At 38.4% G+C, this 24,798-nt stretch overlaps 1 long non-coding RNA gene across 1 annotated transcript in view; it reads left to right on the forward strand.

Moving 5' to 3' along the window:
• Positions 1 to 24,798, forward strand: part of LINC01482 (long intergenic non-protein coding RNA 1482) — a 51,453-nt gene that overhangs the window by 11,857 nt on the left and 14,798 nt on the right. The window contains exon 2 of the long non-coding RNA NR_110825.1: positions 2,660 to 2,755. This is a non-coding gene — a long non-coding RNA (long intergenic non-protein coding RNA 1482). The remainder of the gene's footprint in view (positions 1 to 2,659; positions 2,756 to 24,798) is intronic.

Genomic DNA, 24,798 nt, shown 5'->3' on the forward strand with positions numbered 1-24,798 from the left:
AGCTGTTGCATTTGCTATGTGAGAAAAAACTTGATGGCCCCGAAAGAAACTGGCCCCCCTGATGTGGGAAAACTGCAAAAGGAAAGGCATGACATTTAGAAATCATTTCTTTAGCTCTGTCGTATGAATCCAGTGATCATATTAGATGTGAAAGGAAGGGGACTTTCAATCATTACAGGAACAAGACAAAAGTCACCAAGCAGAGAGAATAGGAATAGGGGCACAGACACAGCTGTTGTCTCAGTGCTGTTGGGAGAATAAGGATGCTTTTGCCGTCTCTACTGCAGAAAAGCTGTGGTCTAATCTTTCTGCCTTGCACTGGCTGTGTTGCTTGGACAAATTGCTTGGTGGCTCTGGTCCTCAGCTGGGCTGCATGAGCTGGAAGCAAAGGTTTTGCTCAAATCACTTGAGTGGAGAGATTTGATGTCAAAACATTTGGAATTACAGCTGAGAGCTAATAAAATGCTAATGTAGGAATGAAAAGACTTCCTGGAGTTCTAAGTAACATTTTTATGTATGTGTGAACATTTTAATTTTCATATTTATGGTTTCACTTTAAAGTGAATTAGAAAAAAATCACATTAAACTACTGACTTCATAGATAATATTTATTGCTTTGGATGTGTCTCTTAAGAAACAAAATTCATTGTAAATTGACTTAAATAAAAATAACACATAAGGGTTGTATATGGATATGGTTAAAAAAAGACTGAAGGAGTTTTGGAATGAATACGGTTTGGGAAACAGTGACTATGCCATTTTTTTTTCCCCCTAGAATTGGCTCCATGCCCCACCACTTAGCATAGACTGGTCAGAAGCAGTTAAAATCATTCCTTGTGTTTTCTGTAGCTGAGAAGGAAGAACATGGAAGAACTCTCCAAGATGGTTTCAGCACTTTTGTTAGGAATCCAAAACATAAGACATTTTCTCTTAAAAATACTAATAGCTAACTTTTATTGAGGGCTCCTTGTGCCAGGCACTATTCTAAATATTTTATGTATTTTCTTTCATCTAATCCTCATGACAACCCTGGGAACTAAATTCCAGTATTACCCTTTTTTTTTTTTTTTTTTTTTGAGATAGGGTCTCATTCTGTCACCCAGGCTGGAGTGCAGTGCCGCAATTTTGGCTCACTGCAACCTCTACCTCCCAGGTTCAAGCGATTCTCCTGTCTCAGCCTTCTGAGTAGCTGGGACTATAGGTGCACGCCACCACGCCCAGCTAATTTTTGTATTTTTAGTAGAGATGGGGTTTTACCATGTTGGCCAGGCTGGTCTTGAACTCCTGACCTCGAGCGATCCTCCCACCTTGGCCTCCCAAAGTGCTGAGATTACAGGCGTGAGCCACCACACCTGGCTAGTATTATCATTTTTGTCTCCATTTCACAGATTAGGAAATTGAGGTCCAGAGAGCCTGTTGCTTAAGGCTCCAGAGCTGATAAAGTAGCTAGGCTTTGAACTCAGGCAGACTAATTCCAGGGCCTGTCATTTTCTCCATGCCATTCTTATGATTGCAAGACCTCCCAGAATGAGGAATCCTTCCTGCTGGAACAGCTAGGAGTCTCGATTTTTCCGGAAGCTTGAGGCTGGCTTCCTAGACAAGTGCTTCTCACACTTTAATGAGCTTTCCAAATCACCAAGGGATCTTGTGTGAAAACCAGGATTAAGGAGATGTGGGTTGGGACCAGAGATCCAGCATTTCTAACAAGCTCCCAGGCAATGCTGCTCCTGATGATCCCTGGAGTGTGCTTTGAATAGAAAGGTCAAGAGCCTCTTATTTTTATGGAATGCACCTCTCTTGCTTTTTATTCCCCTGCCCTGTCTCCAAGGCATCAACTGAGTTCAGGGTGCACATGAAGTTGGATACAAACCCACGTTGTTGAGACCGGACATTTGGCGATTAGATTCAGCACAGATGTGTCCTCAGATTTCTCCCTTTCTTTGTTGGCTACAAAGGGAGCATATCTAACTCCTCTCAAAGAGAAAAGCAACCAATGGCATCATGTCCATAGGGCAAAGGCTTAGCTCTCCCTTTTTAGGGAAACAAGATTCCTAATACATTGAGAGAGCGTTCAGTGTTAGTCTTGAGCCTTGGGCTGCAAACCTGTTTTTTTAACTTTATGTAACATCTTGGCTCTTTTTCCAAAAAGAAGTGTTTCAAAATTGTTTGACGTCCCTGCTCTGGGATGTCTACAAAGAGACAAATTGTCCTTTCATATGAGTTGACCTGGCAATGAAGCATGGCCTGTCCCTTTTGCTGTCCAGAAATCTCCCAAACTTGTGGCCGGTAACCTCTTCCTTTCTATCCTTTCCGAAGATTCCCTTTGGATGGAAGTCAGCTGTGAATGCTCTCCTGATTTGCATTCAATTGTATAAATTGTCATAGGTACGACTCTTTGTTCAGAAGCTTGAGTGTATGAGAAAAACAACTTATAATGTATTTTTGAAATTCAATCTAATTTATATTTCAATCTCCTATTTCTCTAGGGCGGAAAAATGTAATCTCAGTTAATTTGAGGTTTCTTCCTGCCCTGGCATTGTATTTAAATTCAGGGGAACTGGATGTCTCATGGGTTTTTCTACTTTTTAATATAATCTGGTTATATGGGCATTGGGTAAGATATCTGCCGCCTGATTTGATCCTTCCTCATTGGCCCAAGCATGTCACCACGGAGACTTCCTTGTTCGTGTCTATATGGTTCATACATGGCCTTCCCCTTAATTAAAGATGTCTTCCGAGGAACATTTTGTCTAAGGTAAGAATCCTTTCCAGACTCCTAACATCATAGGCTTTTAAAACATTGGAGCCAGGAAAAATATTGTTTGTTTCTCTGCTTCCTTCTTTAAGCTCAACCTTATGCCCTAACCAATAAACATAAATTAGCTTTGCTGTTAAAAATGGAGAAAAGGCCAAAAAAGAGATACCATAGATACATATTTAAAAAATATCACTTTGCTACAAAATCTAATGTCCCAGATGAATTGCCATGCAATTTGTGCAGATCTATGTACGTTTCTATTCTTTTTCCATGCTGCACCTGTTTAAATGATAGATCATTCTCCTAAATGCTCTTCCTTGTACTTGTCCTTCTCTGCTATGGTTCACTCAGCCTCTGGCAAAGAAGTATGGAACTGGGAGAGGTGGAAGATTCGGAGCTAGAGGAGAAGGAAGGAGGATAATGAAGCACACCTGAGAACTTTGCTGCATCGTGGTTTTGAAAGTGTGGCTTTTACTGTTGCCCATCATATGCAACTGAGTTCAGAGGGCACATAAAGTTGGATACAAACCACTTTGGTGAACCAGACATTTGGCGATTAGATCCAGCGCAGATGCATCTATATGCAAGTTTTTAGTGAGATGAGACATAGTAATGGTGATTAACTCGATTGTTGATATAATACTGGTGGTAAGCTCATTTTAATGTGTAGTTTATTGGAGTTGTTAAGGACATTATTTTCAGAGTAAGAAAGCCACATTTGATTCCTGGCTTTGGCACTTCCACATAGTTGACTTGGGCAAGCTACTAAACCTTCCCAATTATTGCAATGGGAATAACAGTGGTGTCTATATGGTAGGATTGCTGTAAGATTTGAATAAGGTGATGTAATGCACACTAAGAGCTAAGTATAATGAGTGCCTGGCTCATGGCAAGCAGAATGAATGTTAACTTATAATAACAATCATATAAAAAGAGTCAATTTTCTGAAAATTTCCTCATTTTAGTTATCTTTAAGTAGGTCTTTTCTTTGTCCTTATTTCTGAGCATGGAAAAAACCCCAGAGGCAAAGACCATTAGTCAACTGATCTTAAGGACCAGCAGACAAAGCTTCTGATGTAAATTTGCCATCATTCCCTTCACCTCAGAAGTTATGTCTCTAACATATCTTATGTTGAGTGTGCTGACTTAGCAAACCTGATGCCCTAGTTTTAATACACAAGACTTGCAGCATGACCACCAGGAAAATGTTTCCAAATGCTTGTTGTGGAAAGAGTAGTTAGTCTGCACCTGTCAACATCGCAACTGGATTCGTCTCAAAATGCAAGACACATGGTTCGGAAGCTGGCAAAGGAAAGGATATTTTCACCCTAAAAACACAGCTCATTTCCATTAATTGAGTCTGAATAGTCACAAGTTGCAAAGCTCCAGACAGGTTTTCACAAGCCCAAGAGCAGGGACTGACAATATTTACAGCGCTCTAAGCTGAATCGTATTACTAGGAAGTTCATAAACATGGAGGATGCCTGCTCTGCTGTCACTTGTGTGATATCTGGGCTTCTGCTATGATTTTCTGGGCTCCTTTAATCCAGGACCTATGGTTGGGAATGACAAACATCTACCAGTTTCTGAGTTCCAACTCATGTTGGTTGCTATTATGCCACCCAGGTCACTCTCTTGGGAGGTCTCCATGGAGCTCCTCTTTCCATCTCTAGACACTCTCTCAATCCTTGCATGTTTCTCTCATCCTTTCTCTCAGCTTTGCTTTTTTCCCATCTAGTTTCCTCTTCAACAAAACAAAATAAACATCACAGAAATGAACCGATGTCATCCAGTTTGGCAGAAGTTTTGTCTTTATGGGGTATTATAATATTTACCTCTTTCCAAACTTCTTGATATTGAAGTTTCCTCTGACTTCTGTAGGTTCCTCTCTTAGGACTCTATAGAGTCGGGAATTTTAGTCGTTCTTCCACTTACGTCACCAGAGGATGAACATATCTGTTTTTATATGTTGCACAAGGATAGCATAAGAGACAAATGAAGTGTTGTTTCACTTCATGAACAACAAAAGAAAGATAAATAAAGTAGGAACTTTTGTTTTTAGGCAATGATGTGAATGAATTTAAATTCATATTGATTATATAAGCAATAATAATAACACATCGTGGGATTTAAAATATATTTAGATTTAAAATGTAGGCTAATTTAAACATAAATAAGAATGGGGCTGAATGGAGTTAAAGGGTTCCAAGGTCTTTGTCTGGAGAGTAGGTAAAGACACCAATTAATGTTCTGCTTTGATAAGCCAAGGATGCATGTTATAATTTCCAGGTAGCACTAAAAGAATGGTTAATGCACGTACAACTTTCATGCTAATAGAGAAAAGATGTAATAATAAAGAAATCAATTCGAAACAAGATGAGAAAAGACAAAAAAGGAACAAAGAACAGATGGAACAAATAGAAAACACATGATAGATGGTATTTTATCTGCTTGATGACATACTTACTACTGAATTATGTCCCCTTCTCTTCCCCAAATTCATATATTGAAATTCTAACCTCCAATACCTAAGAATGTGACCGTTATTTGGAAATAGTGCCTTTATAGAAGTAATCAAGGTTAAATGTGATCATTAAGGTAAATGTGATCCAAAATGACTGGTCTCTCTATAAGAAGAGAATATTAGGATACAGAGACACAGAGCAGAGATCATGTGCAGACAGAGGGAAAAGATAGCCATTTACAAGTCAGGGAGAGATGCCTCAGAAGAAGCCAGCCCAGCTGATGCCTTGATTTGGACTTCTAGCCTCCAGAACTATGAGAAAACAAGTATGTATTGTTTAAGCTGTCAGGTCTGTGGTATTTTGTTGTGGCAGCCCTAGCAAACTAATACAGCTTCCTAGACATATCAGTATTTATGTCAAATGCAAATGGACTATATGGTCAAATTAAAAGGCTCAAATTGCAATGAAAGAAGACCCTTGTTGGTTACAAGAGACATATCAAGAACACAAGAATGTGGAAAGATTAGAATAAAAAGGTGAAAAAAAAAGATAACACTATGAAAACTCTAACCAAAAGAAATTTGATGTAGCTATGTTAAGATTAAAAATGCTGTTTTTAATGCAAAAAGACTGGTAGAGATAAAGAGGAATTTCATAATGCCAGAAGGATCAATTTACCAAGAAGGTATAAAAATTCTCAATTTGTATAGATCCAGTAATATGGAATCAAAAAGGCAGAAATGAATAGAGTCACAGTCATACTGACAGATTTTTATCACACTTGTCAGTGGCTGATAAAATAAGTAGATATAAAACAGCAATAATACACAAAACTTGAATAATGCAATCAACAAATTTTACCTAAGGACATGTAGAGAATATTGCAGCCAACAACTGGAGAATACTTACTAATTTCAAGCACAATAAAAATTGGCTATATGCTGAAACGTAAAGGAAGTCTCACCAGATTTCATGATGCAAATTATATAGTGTTTGATTTCTAAACACATTTAATAAAGTTGAAAATCAGTAACAACAAATGGTCCTGGAGTAACTAGGCATCTATATGCAAAAAGTGAACTTCAACCTGTACGTTGTACATAAGAATGAACTCAAAATAGATTTTAGATCTAAATGAAAAAGCTAACATTATAAAAAAATTAGAAAAAAAAACAGAGGAGAAAAGTCTTCATGTCTTCATGGCCTTTGGAGAAGAAAAGATTTCTTACACAGATCACAAAAAGGCACTAATCATAAAAATTAGTCATAATAATTGGACTTCATTGAATTTAAAACTTTGCTTTTCGAAAGACACTGTTAAGAATCAAAGAAGCAAGCCACAGACTCAGATGAAATATTTGCAATACTCATATATGACAAATGATTTGTGTCCAGAATGTATAAGTAACTCTTGCAGCTGAATGGTAAGAGGATAACAAAAACTCAATAAAAAATGAGCAAAAGATTTGAATGCATACTTCACAAAAGATATCTTAATGGCCAAGAAGCACATGGAATGATGCCGAACATTATTAGTCATAAGATAAATACAAATTACAACCACTAAGATGGTCAAAATGTAAAAGGTTAGCAGTAGCCTGTGTTAGTGAAGATGCAGAAAAACTATAACCAGGCTGAGAGTGCTGGCTCACACCTGTAATCCCAGCACTTTGGGAGGCTGAGGTGTATGGATCACCTGAGGTCAGCAGTTGGAGACCAGCCTGTGTATGGATCACCTGAGGTCAGCAGTTGGAGACCAGCCTGACCAACATGGTGAAACCCTGTCTCTACTAAGTACAAAAAACTGGCCCAGCATGGTGGCACATGCCTGTAATCCCAGGTACTTGAGGCTGTGGCAGTGCTCATCACACAGTTTCCCACACGGGGCACCAACTGTGGCAGTGCACCTCTTATGGGGGCGCCAGCTGCGGGGAGGGGTCTGTCCGTTGCAGACCCCTGACCCGGTGACGGATGAATAACGTACACTGACACACAGATATTCTGCTTTGCCTGTCCAGCTGAGTGTGTCTCAGCCGCTTACAGACTCCCTGCTGAGTCCTGTAAACAGTCGTGACTTGGCCCTGATCAGCTAGCGAGACTCACATTTATTTGGTAAGATTAATTAATAAAGGCTTGAGCTAACACCATTAAAGGGTAATTGACATTGTGGACTTCCTGAGTAAAAAGCACTTAAGTACCTGTGGTACAATAAAGGTTAGTCTTAAGATCATATGAGTAAACAAGCTAGCTAGGTAAACTACTCTGCCTTCCTTTGTTACTACTTTAATTTTGTTTAACTAAAGATAAAGGGACCAGGCCACCTTCAGCCAGATCTATTATAGAAGTTATGCAAACTTCTCGGCCTTCCAAGAAGATTTGTGTCTATCTCTACACTATCTCTAATATTTTTCCCACCAGCCTGATTGAACCCCAACCAGAGGCTGAGGCAGGAGAATCACTTGAACCCAAGAGGCAGAGGTTGCAGTGAGCCGAGATTGCACCATTGCACTCCAGCCTGGGCAACAAGAGCAAAACTCCATCTCAAAAAAAAAAAGAAAAGAAAAACTAGAACCTCATTTATTACTACTGAGAACTGTAGAACTGCAAAGTGGTTCTAAAGTTGTAGAACCACTTTAGAAAAAATTGGGCGATTTCTTGTAAAGTTAACACATTCACTGTATGATTCAGAAATTTCATTACTATGTTGTATGTAAGAAATGAAAACACATGTCTACAAAAGAATTATATATAAATGTTTATTGTAGTTTTATTTGTAATAACAAAAAGCTGGAGACAATTCAGATATTCATCAAACAGTGAATGGATAAACAAATCGTGATATATTCATTCAATGGAACACTTCTTCAGCAATAAAAAGCAAAAAGCTACTGATACATGCAACATCATGGCTATGTCTCAAAATCATTACGATGATGAAAGAGGGTAGAGTAAATAATATGTGATTCTATCTATACAAAATTGTACAGCAAACAAAACTAGTTTGCAATGACAGAAAGCAGTTTAGTGGTTGTGGTTAAAGGTAGAGTTGGAGAACTTTTTTTGGAGTGAAAATGTATGTTCAATATATTAATTGTGGTCATGGTTACACTAATGTTTATGTTTTTCAAAACTCACAAAACTGTATTATGTATAAATGCATATAATATATTGTATGTAAATTTGAACCTAAATTAAATTGATTTAAAAAGAAAAAATCAATAAAAATATTAAGAAATACACTTCTAAATAAACCGTGAGGCACAGAGTCAATTATAATGGAAACAAAAAAAATTTGAATTGAATGATATTAAAAATATTAGATGTCAAAACTTCCTGTTAAACAAGTACTTAGTGGGAAATGCCTTAAGTACATATATTGAAAAAGAAAAAAAAGTGTTGAAAATTAATTACCAAAGTGATACGGTTTGGCTCTGTGTCCCCACCCAAATCTCATCTTGAATTGTAATCCCCACATGTCTAGGGAGGGACCTGGTTGGAGGTGACTGGAACATGTGTGTGGTTTCCCCCATGCTGTCCTCATGATAGTGAGTGAGTTCTCATGAGATCTGGTTGTTTGATAAGTGTCTAGCACTTCCCCCTTCTTTTTCTCTCTCTCTTGCCACCATGTAAGACATGCCTTGCTTCCCCTTCTTCCATGATTGTAAGTTTCCTGAGACCTCCTCAGCCACGTGGAATGTGAATCAGTTAAATCCCTTTTGTTTATAAATTACCCAGTCTTGGATAGTTCTTTATAGCAGTGTGAAAATGAATTAATACACCCAGCATCCACTCCAATAAGTTAGGAAGAAAATGGCCAAGTAAACTTCAAGGAGGCAGAAGAAAAGAAATAAATATTACAACAGACAATAATGAAGTAGAAAGCAAACATCAAAGCTAAAATTTGGCCATTTGAAAATACTAACATAATTGATAAACTTCTCATAAGATTAATTTTTTAAAAAATAAAGAATACACAGAAGACTAATGTTTGAAATAAAAATAGAGACACCACCACAGACCTTTCAGACATTAAAAAGATGACAAAATGATTTTAAAAGAAGACAAAGAAAGAAAGTAGGCACAAATGGTTACCTAAAATGAAAAGGAAGATAGCAACACTAATCCTACAGACATTAAAAAGATAAGAGGATTTTATAAATGCTGTTATGAAGTGAATTGTATTCCCTACCCCCAAATTTGCGTGTTGAGGTCCTAACCTCGAATGTGACCATATTTGGATATATGACCTTTTAAGAGGTAATTAAGGCTAAATGAGCTTGTAGGGATGGGGCCCTAATCCGATGTGACTGGTGTCCTTATGAGAGGAGAAAGAGCAACTAAGAATGTGTGCATAGAGACCAGGATGTGAAGACATAATAAGAAGGCAGTGTGGCTGGGTGCAGTGGTTCATATCTGTAATCCCAGCACTCTGGGAGGCCAAGGCAGGTGGATCATTTGAGGTCAGGAGTTCAAGACTATCCTGACCAACATGGTGAAACCCTGTCTGTACTAAAAATACAAAAATTAGCCAGGCATGGTGGCGGGTGCCTGTAATCCCAGCTACTTGGGAGGCTGAGGCAGGAGAATCCCTTGAACCTGAGAGGCGGAGATTGCAGTGAGCTGAGATCGCACCACTGCATTCCAGCCTGGGCAATAGAGTGAGACTCAGTCTCGAGAAAAAAAAAAAAAAAAAAAGGCAGCCCTCTGCAAGTCAAAGAGAGAGACCTCAGGAGAAATGAAACCTGCCAACCCCTTGATCTTGGACTTCCAGGCTCCAGAACCTGAAGAGGCAAGCCACAGACTCAGAGAAAATTTCTGTTGTTTAAGCCACCTAGTCTGTGGTATTTTGTTACAGTACCCTAGCAAACTGATACAAGCTCAAATAAATTTCATTGTTTAGATAAAAAAATAAAATCTCTTGATAAAGCAACTTACTCAAACTAACACAAGAAAAAATAGACAACCTGAATGCTCTTAGTGAAGACATTGATCCATAATTAAAAATCTTCATTCTAAGGAAGCTCTAGGCCAACGTGGCTTCACTAGCAAATTATACCAAAAAATTTAAGAAAAAAATGCTACTCTTCCACAAACTCCTCCAGAGAATGATGAAAGGTGGATCATTCTCCCAATGCATTCCCATCATAACTTTATACCAAAATAAGAATACATAAAAACCTTATTGAAATAAATGGAAAAAAGCCAGGTAGATTAGTTGAAAAATGAACATGATCTGAAGATGCACTTCAAAAGGAGGATATACAGATGGCCAATAAACTTATGAAAAGGCTCAACTTCATTACCCTGCAGGGAAACGAATGTTAAAAACACGGTGAGGTAACCGTACACACCCACCAGAATGGCTAACATTAAAATCAAGCAGTGAGGAGGAACTTGGGTAACTGGAACTCTTACACACTGCTGGCTACAGGATAAATTGGTTACAGTCACTTTGGAAAATGGTTTGGTAGTTTTTACTGAAGCTGAAGATTCATATACACTGTGACCCAGGAATTTCTCTCCTAGATATATAGCTAATATAAATAAGTGCATGCAGTTATATACAATAATTTCAAAGCAGTATCATTCATGATAACACTAAAGAGAAAACAATACAAATACCCATCAACCACAGCATGGATAAATGCATTGCAATATAGCATGCAATAAAAGTATCTATTGCAATAAAAATTAATAAATTATAGCTACATAAAAAATGGGGATCAGCTGGGTGTGGTGGCTCTCACCTGTAAATTCCAGCACTTTGGGAGGCTAAGACAGAATTGCTTGAGCCCAGAAATTTGAGACCGGCCTGGTAAACAGAGTGAGATTCTGTCTCTACAAACAAATTTTAAAAATTAGCTGGATGTGGTGGTACATGTCTGTAGTCCCAGGTACTTAGGAGGCTGAGGCAGGAGGATCACTTGAGCCCAGGAGGTGGAGGTTGCAGTGAGCTGTGATCATGCCACTGTACTTCAGCCTGGGTGATAGAATGAGACCCTGTTTCAAAAAAATGTGGATGAATCTCACAAATATGAAGTGGAGTGAAGTAAGCTATTCACAAGGATGATGACATACTCTAGGATTCCACTTATGTAAAGAACAGTATAGACTGAATAAAACTATAGATTTTAAGGATGAACAAATAGTAGGTAAAAATGACATAAAAAGGCAAGTAAGTTATTACCATAAAAGGTGGATGGTACCTTGTGGGGGAAGGATGGGGTTGTGATTAGGAAGAGGTAAGCAAAGAGGTGCTAGAGTCTTGGAAAGTTTTGTTTCTTGAACTTGATGGTTGTTATATGGGTGTATGCTTTATGGTGGCTGTGAATTTCTTTTTCACTTTTCCCTCTGTGCTTTATGTTTCACAATAAAAAAAGTTAAGATTAAATGAGAAAAGTGAGCACCCCAAATTCTTTAGAATTAAAATGTAAGTTTCATGAAAGGTATTGCTATTAGTTCTAGCCTTTGTAATCTTACATCCATTCACCTATTCATCCATCTGCCTACCACCCAACCATCCATCCATCCATCCATCCATCCATCCCTCCATTCATCTATTCTTCTATTCATCTATTCTTCTATTCATATTTCCTTTTACCATTTATTCATTCACCCACACCTGAGGCAGTTCGGTTCTCCCTAGAAAATTATAGAGATTGACAGTTTGAATAATAATGACTAGACCTTGAGATGAATGATTGAACCATTTCTGAGCTGCCTAGTTTTCCTCTCTTGGAAGCCAACATGTTCCTCACTAAGAACTGGGCATGGGTTTGGTTTTCTATTGATGTGAAGCCTTACACAGTTGTAAGATCTGTAGATCTGGGCTAGGGTACAGAGAAATTGACTGTCCACTTTCTTTTAATTTGCATTCATTGATAAGATCATTATGAACCTGTGCTGACACAGCTATAATCTCAGGGAGAGGCACACACAGTCCCATGTTGCATAACAATGTTTTTGTCAATGAAGGATCACATATATGACAGCGGTCCCATTAGATTATAATACTGTAATTTTACTGTACCTTTTCTATGTTTAGATACACAAATACTTAGCATTGTGTTACAATTGCCTACAGTATTCAGTACAGTAACATGCTGTACAGGTTTGTAGCCTAGGAGCAATTGGCCATATCATGTAGTTTAGGTGTGCAGTAGGTTATACCATCTAGGTTTGTATAAGTGCACTCTTGGATGTTCACACAGTAACAAAATCACCTAATGATGCATTTTTTGAATGTATCTCTGTCATTAAGTGATGCATGACAAATAAATGCCCATATACCTGGAATCAGAAATTCCATTCCTAAGAATCTATTCTCAGAAAATACTAGTGCTGGTACTATAAAGATGCAAGTACAAAAAGTGTTTATTTCTGAGTTGTTTGTAATGGCAAAAACAATGTAGAAATATCTTAAATTTCCATCATTAATGGACTGATGAAAGAAATTATGGAAAAGTCATATGATGAAGCATAACTTCACCTTTTATAAATGAGATTTATGATGACCTAGAAAGTTCTCCAAGTTATATTATTAAATGTAAAAGGCAAATTACAGAATAATACATTTGATAATAAGATATCACTTGAATAGAAATGGTAGTTCTCAATATATATGTGCAGGTACTTGCATATGGAGTCCAAAAGGATATACATACACTCCAATTTTAATGGGTGATTTATGGGGAAAGAAATGAGATTGGGGGAAAGGAAACTGAAAAGGGACTTTAAGATTACCGTACTTTATAATTCTAAATTTTAGAATTGTTACAAGAACACATTCATGCATTACTTGTGTGTTTTAAAAGTAATTTTTAAACCTTTAGTTAGAAAATTAAAAAGTAATGCCTGATCATTTTTTAAAAATTAGAAAATATATAAAATAATGAAGAAAACATTTAAAAATCTGTATTTTCCTTATCCAGACCCCTTCAAGTCTTATTTTAATAATTATAATACTGTATTTTTACTGTGCCTTTTCAAGCCTAGTTTGTGCTTGACAGTCATAGAATGAACCAATCTTTCCAAGCCTTGCTTCAAGCACCAAATTCTACTGAAATAAAAGACCTTGCCTTGTACAATGAAGATGACGTTGAGCTAGGGATTAGATGATTTAATTTAAATTGCATCCGTAACCCAGGTCACCTTGAACAAGTTATTTAACCTCTCTGAGCTCAGTGAACAGGTTTGCAAAATGAGGATAATAACGTCGGTCTTTCTGCAGGACTACTGTGAGGATTAACGAAGTAATCTGTGACATTGTGCTTTGCCTCTACGTGGACCTAGTATATTATCAAGACTGTCATAGATGGCTCTTATTATTTTGAGATACGTCCCATCAATACCTAATTTATTGAGAGTTTTTAGCATGAAGCGTTGTTGAATTTTGTCAAAGGCCTTTTCTGCATCTATTGAGATAATCATGTGGTTTTTGTCTTTGGTTCTGTTTATATGCTGGATTACATTTATTGATTTGCGTATATTGAACCAGCCTTGCATCCCAGGGATGAAGCCCACTTGATCATGGTGGATAAGCTTTTTGATGTTCTGCTGGATTCGGTTTGCCAGTATTTTATTGAGGATTTTTGCATCAATGTTCATCAAGGATATTGGTCTGAAATTCTCTTTTTTGGTTGTGTCTCTGCCCGGCTTTGGTATCAGGATGATGCTGGCCTCATAAAATGAGTTAGGGAGGATTCCCTTTTTCTATTGATTGGAATAGTTTCAGAAGGAATGGTACCAGTTCCTCCTTGTACCTCTGGTAGAATTTGGCTGTGAATCCATCTGGTCCTGGACTCTTTTTGGTTGGTAAGCTATTGATTATTGCCACAATTTCAGCTCCTGTTATTGGTCTGTTCAGAGATTCAACTTCTTCCTGGTTTAGTCTTGGGAGAGTGTATGTGTCGACGCATTTATCCATTTCTTCTAGATTTTCTAGTTTATTTGCGTAGAGGTGTTTGTAGTATTCTCTGATGGTAGTTTGTATTTCTAAGAGCTATCTATGACAAACCCACAGCCAATATCATACTGAATGGGCAAAAACTGGAAGCATTCCCTTTGAAAACTGGCACAAGACAGGGATGCCCTCTCTCACCACTCCTATTCAACATAGTGTTGGAAGTTCTGGCCAGGGCAATTAGGCAGGAGAAGGAAATAAAGGGTATTCAATTAGGAAAAGAGGAAGTCAAATTGTCCCTGTTTGTAGATGACATGATTGTATATCTAGAAAACCCCATTGTCTCAGCCCAAAATCTCCTTAAGCTGATAAGCAACTTCAGCAAAGTCTCAGGATACAAAATCAATGTACGAAAATCACAAGCGTTCTTATACACCAACAACAGACAAACAGAGAGCCAAATCATGAGTGAACTCCCATTCACAATTGCTTCAAAGAGAATAAAATACCTAGGAATCCAACTTACAAGGGATGTGAAGGACCTCTTCAAGGATAACTACAAACCACTGCTCAAGGAAATAAAAGAGGATACAAACAAATGGAAGAACATTCCATGCTCATGGGTAGGAAGAATCAATATCGTGAAAATGGCCATACTGCCCAAGGTAATTTACAGATTCAATGCCATCTCCATCAAGCTACCAATGACTTTCTTCACAGAATTGGAAAAAACTACTTTAAAGTTCATATGGAACCAAAAAAGAGCCCGCATTGCCAAGTCAATCCTAAGCCAAAAGAACAAAGCTGGAGGCATCACACTACCTGACTTCAAACTATACTACAAGGCTACAGTAACCAAAACAGCACGGTACTGGTACCAAAACAGAGATATAGATCAATGGAACAGAACAGAGCCCTCAGAAATAACGCCGCATATCTACAACTATCTGATCTTTGACAAACATGAGAAAAACAAGCAATGGGGAAAGGATTCCCTATTTAATAAATGGTGCTGGTAAAACTGGCTAGCCATATGTAGAAAGCTGAAACTGGATCCCTTCCTTACACCTTATACAAAAATCAATTCAAGATGGATTAAAGACTTAAACGTTAGACCTAAAACCATAAAAACCCTGGAAGAAAACCTAGGCATTACCATTCAGGACATAGGCATGGGCAAGGACTTCATGTCTAAAACACCAAAAGCAATGGCAACCAAAGCCAAAATTGACAAATGGGATCTAATTAAACTCAAGAGCTTCTGCACAGCAAAAGAAACTACCATCAGAGTGAACAGGCAACCTACAACATGGGAGAAACTTTTCGCAACCTACTCATCTGACAAAGGGCTAATATCCAGAATCTACAATGAACTCAAACAAATTTACAAGAAAAAAATAAACAACCCCATCAAAAAGTGGCGAAGGACATGAACAGACACTTCTCAAAAGAAGACATTTATGCAGCCAAAAAACACATGAAAAAATGCTCATCATCACTGGCCATCAGAGAAATGCAAGTCAAAACCACAATGAGATACCATCTCACACCAGTTAGAATGGCAATCATTAAAAAGTCAGGAAACAACAGGTGCTGGAGAGGATGTGGAGAAATAGGAACACTTTTACACTGTTGGTGGCACTGTAAACTAGTTCAACCATTGTGGAAGTCAGTGTGGCAATTCCTCAGGGATCTAGAACTAGAAATACCATTTGACCCAGCCATCCCATTACTGGGTATATACCCAAAGGACTATAAATCATGCTGCTATAAAGACACATGCACACGTATGTTTATTGCGGCATTATTCACAATAGCAAAGACTTGGAACCAAGCCAAATGTCCAACAATGATAGACTGGATTAAGAAAATGTGGCACATATACACCATGGAATACTATGCAGCCATAAAAAATGATGAGTTCATGTCCTTTGTAGGGACATGGATGAAATTGGAAATCATCATTCTTAGTAAACTATCGCAAGAACAAAAAACCAAACACCGCATATTCTCACTCATAGGTGGGAATTGAACAATGAGAACACATGGACATAGGAAGGGGAACATCACACTCTGGGGACTGTTGTGGGGTGGGGGGAGGGGGGAGGGATAGCATTGGGAGATATACCTAATGCTAGATGACGAGTTAGTGGGTGCAGCACATGAGCATGGCACATGTATATGTATGTAACTAACCTGCACATTGTGCACATGTACCCTAAAACTTAAAGTATAATAATAAATAAATAAATAAATAAATAAATAAATAAAAAAGAGGAACAACAACAACAAAAAAGACTGAGATTTTTCTTGCAACCAAAAGATAAATGAAAGATACTTGTGAGAGTTAATCACCTCCTTCAGGAAACAGGTTCTTCAGATTATTGGAAACATTTATCAATTTACCATGTCTCTGGCACAGACATCAGCAGAGCCAAGAGTAACCGGAATGGGTACCTCAATCTGAGCAACGAGGAAACAGAGTTATGCTTCAGGAAAGGAAATAGACACTTGTTTTGCTTTTGTCTTGAACAAAATGCTTGGATTTTAACATACAAGTAGTGTTTGCATCACCTCTTGAGATTGTGTAGTGGGTATTTTTTGAGGTATAGCCCCAGCATCCCATGATCCTGTCTTTGTGCCCTTATCAAGAATAGTGGACCCCTGGAAGCCATTTTGTATGATGTGACCTCACCCCTGGTCACCGATGATTGGCTTAAAAAGGGGCAGCTTGCTCAAGCCGGCCCAATCAGAGTATCTCTTCCAGGAGCGAGCTTGGAAAATGCCAGCCTCTCTATTGACCGAAGCTGTATCAGTTAACCCTTTGATGGCATAATAACCTTCTTCTTTACATTTATTAAAAGTGAGATTTTTGTATTCCATTGATTTTTGTCCTAACTCAGAGGATAGAATTTGTCAGTAGTGGTAAGACTAAAATTATACCTGTTGTGGTTTTCTGGCTCTTCTATCTGTCACGCTTTCTTTCTCGCTTTCTCCCCTTAACCCTCCTACCCTCACTCCCTGCCCCCGTCCTTTTTCTAATCATGCACATAAACAAAGGGATAGACATATTCACAAAACAGTAGTACTTGTCACGAACATTTTTTTTCCCACTGCTGTGAAAGTTTAAAAAAACCAACGAAATAATAATAGGCTTTCCCATCCACAACCCCCATTCCTTACCAGCTGTTGTATTTTATAAGCCAACAAAACAAACTTGTGGCTGGACAAAGCAGCTTCCAGAAGAGGCAGGCAAATTCATTTCTAGGCCAGCAGTTTAATTGGATGCAACAAAGAACATGGTGTGGCTTTTCTGGGCACTTGAAGTAGAGGCAGGCTTTTCGTTCCAGCAAACACAGGCTGCAGAAGCTGTATGATTTGTAGTAATTCATTCGACATGAGCAACAATTGTGAAGAAGCTTTGTGTCATCAATATGAGTCCCCAAACAAGTATTTTAAAATAATGACCTTCACAGCCAAATTTATAACGGTATCCTCTCTACCACCCACTGCCCCCCATGAGTAGCTGAGAAGCCAGTCTGGGGGTGTGGGAAGGTAGGATCCTCCCAAGAGGAATGAAAACACTGGAGAGAGAGAGAAGAAGAAAAGAATAAGGAGAAATCATTCTTCCTGGTCTCCTGATGGCTTTCCTGTTCCTGATTCCTGTTCTTCAGTTCCATGAGACACTCCAGCTGCCTTATAATAAATCACCCTTTATTTATTTATTTATTTATTTTTTTGCTAAAGTTGGCTTGAGTGAAGTTCTGATACTTACAACAAAAGAAATCTAAATAATACTAAGAGATATAACTACCCTCCTTTTCCAATGAGGAAACCGAGAGTCAATGGGGTGAAGTAACTTGCCCAAGGTCAAATGGCTTTCCTCCCCAGGTTTATTTCACTCCCAAGACCAGGACCTTTCCACAGAGCTGATGAGGACAAGAAATGTCTAAGCTGACAGCAGCCTGAATTATGAGGGCACGCTGCCTTGCTGATCTTCTCTCTCTGCAAGAAGTCATCTAATAAGAATCTCATTCCTCATTTATTTGTTTTTCCTGTGCTTTCTTATAATTCGTCTTCCCATTTTTCTGGTCAGGAGGAAAACCCTGCCTCCAGCCACAGCCCTGAAAATCTCTGAGTTATGGTGGGTTGATGAGAGAGGGATTTGGAAACGAGATTTTGATTCTCCTCCTCTCCGATCTGAGGCCAGGCAGCATGCTTGCTGTTTAACCGCTGTTAATTAATTGTGTACTATGAGATTAAATATATCTATTAGGCTACTAGCCTTTACCATCATCATTACAAGTCCATGAATGTTAAAATGTACAGGAGGAATTGTGAAGATTTACTGACATCAAAAGTTCTTCTGGAAACAAACTTTGTAAAAAAAAAAAAAGATGTATTAAATTATTTTAATTGTGGGAAAAAAAAAGCAAGTGGCAAATTTTAGTCTTGTCAGTCTTCCAAAGATCAACACACTCTAGCTTCCCTTCCACCTTGTCTCATACACAGGCATTTCTGAGATGAAAGAAGTGGGCCCTGCCATTGAACAGAATTTATGCATTTAAATATTCATCATTTCTGTGAAAAAGAGAAGAAAGTAAGTATCACCCATAAACCTATAATCTTAGTGCCATCCGTGTTTGAAATTTGGTACATTTTTTTCCCCATCCTTTTTCTTATGCATCAGTTTCATTCAGAGGTGTTGTCAAATGTCTATTTAATTTCTAACATGCTTTTAAAAAACTTAACATGACAGTATTAGCATTTTCCACACTGCTGCCTGTTTTTTTACACCCATAAATGTAAGGACAGGCAAAATTTAAGATTGTAGTGTAATTATGGTGGACATTCGCATGCTGTATGTAGCCTTCCTCTCTCCAAAGGCCAATACGCTTATTATTAGGAGATGAGCCAAATATTCCTTCTCCCCACTCCACAGAAGCCAGGACAGGGGAACAGGATGTAAGTTCAGCCACATAATGCTTTAAGCCTAGTGAGAGGAGTGCAAAGGTACAGGAAGATGAAAAATGATTCCGTGTAGAGGTGGCACTGAGGGTGTGTCAATGGCTGCTGGGTGTGAACTGGTGGATCCAGCGGCAGCATATAACATCATTCCTGGGGCGTGACCCTGTCTCTCTTCCCACTTCTCAGTCTCTCTTGGTTCCTGCCATTCCCAATCCAGGTTCTTCCTCCTCCTCATAGACTTAGAACTCTCTGTTACCTTTTTAATAATTTCCTTTCTGCCTACATTAGCCAGAGGCATATCATAGCCAGAAACTCTATCCCTGGAACTAGGTCTTCACAGCTTGGACAGCTGAGTTCATTCATTCTGTTCAGTTAAAAACTATTTATTAAACCTCTACCATGTATCTTGTGCTGCTCTAGGAAGTAGAAATACGGTAATAAGAATCAGTTTTAAAAAAATCATCACTCAGCTGGGTGTGGTGACTCATGCCTGTAATTTCAGGACTCTGGCAGGTTGAGGCAGGTGGATCACTTGAGTCCAGGAGTTTGAGACCAGCTTGGGCAACATGGCGAAACCCTGTATCTACAAAAAATACAAAAATAAGCCAGGCATGGTGGCGAGTGCCTGTAGTCCCAGCTATATAGGAGGCTGAGGTGGGAGGATACTGAGCCCAGGAGGTCAAAGCTGCTGTGAGCCATTGTCATGCTACTGCAGTCCAGCCTGGGTGAGAGAGTGAGACTCTGTCAAAAAAAAAAAAAAAAAATCACCACTCACATGGAACTTACTTTCTAGTGGAATTCTGGTATGTTTTAATGGAAGATAAGGTTGTATCTGAATTACTATTGGTAAAGGTGAGCAAAATTTAGAGTGATGTAAACAGTTAAGGAGAGGTGCTTATAAGGTTCCAAATGGTTAAACTGTATATAAACCCTAGTTCAGAATGGAAAGCCTGCATGACCTCTACTTGCTTTAAGTTATGTAGTCATGTGTCGCTTAACAAAGGAGGCACGTTCTGAAAAATGTGTTGTTAGGAGATTTTGTCATTGTATAAACATTATAGAGTACGCTTACACCAACCTAGATGGTATAACCTCCTACACACCTAGGCTATATGGGGTAGCAAATTACTCCCAGGCTACAAACCTGTACAGCATGTTACTGTACTGCATGCTGTAGGCAATTGTAACACAATGGTAAGTATCTGTATTTCTAAACATATCTAAATATTGAAAAGGTAGAATAAAAATAAGGTATTATAATCTTATGGGATCACCTTCATGTATGCAGTCTGTCATTGAACAAAACATCATTACGTAGCATATGACTGTATTTATGTGTTTCCAAACATATCAGCAGTGTGTGAAAGTGCTCCTTATCCTGCCTTATTGCTGACATGGGATATTATCAGTAGTTGTTAAATATTTGCTAGACATCAGGAAGAATAGCTAATGGATGCTGTCCTTGATAGCTGGGTGATGGGTTGGTCTTTCAGCAAATCATCATGGCACGCGTTTATCTATGTAACAAACCTGCACATCCTGCACATGTACCCCAGAACTTAAAGTAAAAGTTGAAGGAAAAGAAAAATATTTGCTACAATGATTTTTGTCTCTTTAGAGTTTAAAAAAAGGTGAGCATATTTTCATGTTTGCTCATGGTTTGTTTCTTTTTGGGTAATTTGTTTTCTTTACCTCATTTTGTTTTCTGTTGAGATGTTTGCCCATTTCTTGTTGATTGGCAATAACTCTATAGTCTAGATATTATTTCTTTATCTATCATATTTGCTGCAAATATTTCTCCCAGCCTATTATTGGTTTGTTTTAACTTTGTGGTATCTTTTGTAGTGCAGATTTTTTTTATTTTTGTGTAGCCAAATCTGTCAAATCTTCTCATTTTTACCTTCTCAGTTTTATGTCTTGCCCAGAAAGGCTTAGCTTTAGAATTATAAAAACATTTTCTAATGCTTTTATAGTCTTGTGCTTTATCTTTAGGTATTTAATACATCTAGAATTCATTTTTGTAAGTGGTATGAAGGAGGAATCTAACCTCTTTTTTTAAATGGAAAGCCCCAACACAGTTTAGTAAATACTGATTCTTTTTGTCCTCCCCTTCAAAAATGCTACACGTACGCTATATGCCCTCATATTCATGCTTCTGTTTCTGGGATGAAAAGAATGAATTCTAACATGCAACTAACTCCAAATCAATATTTCTTATGGAGATATGCAATTTCCCAATATGAAAACCAAACTAACTCACCCAACTCAGATTATTCTTTTGATTTCATACCTTCAGCATTGTGGCTGGTTTTCTTTCTCACATGCATGTTACCCGGGGTTGCTCCTGAAACAGTTTACCATATAAATAGACTTCATTTCCCCAGCAAACGAGGGCAGGTCTGGTAGTTTTTTCTGTTTCACATATTCCCCAACCCTATAGGGTTTTACATGGAGCTACAAATTAGCCAATTTCAACAGACTTTGCTTTTGGAATATTCTTTATGCCTTGTTCTCATTTGCTTCCAGGAGAAATCATAATATTAAGGATTCTTGGGAGTGAGAAGGAGACATAATATATTCTAATAATATTAGAGTCACACGCACATAGGAATCACATAGATTCCTTGGTTTCATCCCTAAAGTTTCTGATTTATTGGTGTAAGATTTAGCCCTAGAATTTGCACTTAAAAAAAATCAGGCCTTTGCTCTTCCTGCAGCCTACTCTGTTATTTGTAAATAAGACAGCAATTGGGCAACCAGAGCTGTGAGAAAAAAAAAACTGGTATAGCAAGTGATTCTTTAGGGCCACTGTTGCTATTTTAATAACAAAGGATGCTACAAATAAACCCTTCAGTCCTGTCATTTCCAAGGCCATTTTGACATTTATTTCAATAAATAACAACAAATTATTTCAATAAATAACAACAATAATAAATAGCAACAAGCTGGAGGTGTCTTTCTAACTAAATGAATCAGCAAGGCCTCCCCCCAAAAAGAAAAAGGAAAATCCAAAAGCACCAGATTATAAACATCACTGTTGAGTGTCTTTCAGAGTGAATGGAGATTATGCCATTACACCCACACACTTCTCTCTCTTCTAAAGGCACCATCCGCGGAAAGATTCTGATGCTAACATCAGTCAGTTGTTGTGGAAGATGACCTAGAATGAACCATTGCTTCTTTTTCTACCGTCTATTCTGGAAATTATTAACAGATAGATTCCCGAGCCAGAAGTTGAGAAAACACTGGGAGGTTGTTTATTCTGATCTGGATTTTTAGAGATGCAAATGCAGCAAAGGAGTTATGAACATAATGAAGGGAATCACAGTATTTTAACCAGCCATCTGTACATCAAGGCCTCATTGTGTCTTCCTGAAAAAAGGTAAATGGGTGCTCTATTTGTCAAGAGAGGAGAAGTGACTTCTGGAATCTTTACTTCTGATAACTCAAGTCCAGACCCAGCAAATTAGTTCATTTATAAAGCATCTCATTTCTCAGTGCCAATGCATATGCCCATAACCACCCTTGTCTCAGCACAAATATACATGCAAATGCATGCACATAAGTTGTGCTGCTTTTGTTTTCACAGTTGCAAAATGATTGCTGTACCCAAAATTGCATTCCTATTTAAGGCAGGAAGAAGGGGGGAGGGCAAAAGGATAAAAACTCAAGCCAGTTGGGTCCATTCTTAACAAGAGCTCTTCCGGAAGCCTGTCTAGCAACTTCCATTTGCATCTCCACTGTTGAGTCCAGCAGCACGGATAGCTAGGGATAATGACTATTGCAGTAGGGAATATTCTATCTTGAATATTGAATATGAAGATGGGGATGCGGTGGGTAGGTAAAAAGGGGAGAATGAATACCGATAGTTAAGTAGCAGTGTCTGCCTTGGTTTACCCCAAGTATTTCTCAAACCTATCCAATTTTCTCCTTCCCTACCGCCAACATCCCAGTGAAACCACAATCCACTCTCAGCTGGACATTCTTCTAGCTGGTCTTCCTGCACAGCAAAAGGATGTTTATCTTTTAAAACTTACATCTATTATGCTGCTCTGCTGGTTAAAACTTATAATGTCTTCCTATATTAGTTAGAATAAAATCTGCACATGTTTTTATGACTTAAAATGCCCACATGACTTGATATCTCCCACTTATTTTTTTCCCTTCTTTCCTCCTGGTTTGTGACAGTCCAGGCACGTTGGCCTCCCTGCAGTGCTTTAAGCATGTCATGCTCTTTCCTATCTTAGGGCCTATGTACTTGTTTCTCCCTCTGCCTGCCTTCTCTCATTCTTCAACTTTTTGTTCAATGTCACTTTTTTTTTTGACCATCCCATCTGGAACACTGTGATGGTTTTTTTGATGTGTCAACTTGGCTAAACTACAGTCTCCAGTTCACAAACAAACAAACAAACACGAGCTTAGGCTTTGCTGTGAAGATCTTTTGTAGATGTGATTAAAGTCCATAATCAGTTGACTTGAAAAAAGGATGATTATCCTAGATCATCTCAGTGGGCCTGTTTCAATCAGTTGAAGGGACTTAAAAGCAGAACCAAGGCTTCCCTGAAGAAGAAATTCCACCTGTGAACAGCAGCTTCAATCCATTCCTAAAGTGCCAGCCTGCCCTGTGGATTTCGAAGCTACCTAGGCAGGTCCCACAACTGAGTAAATCGATTCCATGCAATAAATCTCTTAATATACATCTCCTACTGGTTCTGCTTTCCGGGTTAAACCCTGATCGATAACAATCCTCCTCCTCCCACCTACTAGTTGATCTTTATCAAACTGCCCCATTTATTTATTCAAAAGCACTGCTCTTCTGAAAAATTCTCTTGCTCATTTATACATTTTCTGTTCTGTTTTTTTGTCTTCCCTACTCGGATGTCTGCTCCATGAAGGCAGAATCAGTGCCTACCACATTCAACACTGTAGAACAATACATAGCCCATAGTCCATGGTCACTAAATATTTGCGGAAAGAAAGAATGAATGGGAATCTAGTAATAAAATCTGGCCCAACAATTCACTCCCAGGTTACATTAAATTACACTTCTTGGCCGGGCACAGTGGCTCACGCCTGTAACCTCAGCACTTTGGGAGGCCAAGGCGGGCAGATCTTCTGAGGTCAGGAGTTCGAGACCAGCCTGGCCAATATGGTGAAACCCCATCTCTACTAAAAATACAAAAAAATTATCTGGGCGAGGTGGCAAGTGCCTGTAATCCCACCTACTGGGAGGCTGAGGCAGGAGAATTGCTTGAACCTGGGAGGCGGAGGTTGCAGTGAGCCGAGACCGCGCCATTGCGCTCTAGCCTGGGCAACAAGAATGAAACTCTGTCTCAAAATAAATAAATAAATAACACTTCTCAGTTATAACTGCAGAAATTATTTGACAAGACTGCAAGGAAAAATATTTGAGGATATTGATTATATTGGGAACTAACATAAATATTCACTGATAGGACATCTGTTAAATGCATTGTGGTACATTCATTCACTGAAATGCTATACAACTACTGAAAATGAAAAGGTAGCTCTATATGTGTGGATAAGAAAATAATTTCAACAAATGCTACTAAGTGAAGAAAGGAGGCTGTTAGACCACATGTATGGTAATTAATCTTCACAAGTATTTAAAAGAAAAAGATAACATGAGAAACCACATTTTCAAATGGCTGCTTCATGATATATACTTGTGACTAACAAAAACC

Source organism: Homo sapiens, chromosome 17 (assembly GCF_000001405.40).
Source record: "Homo sapiens chromosome 17, GRCh38.p14 Primary Assembly".
Lineage (NCBI taxonomy): Eukaryota > Metazoa > Chordata > Mammalia > Primates > Hominidae > Homo > Homo sapiens.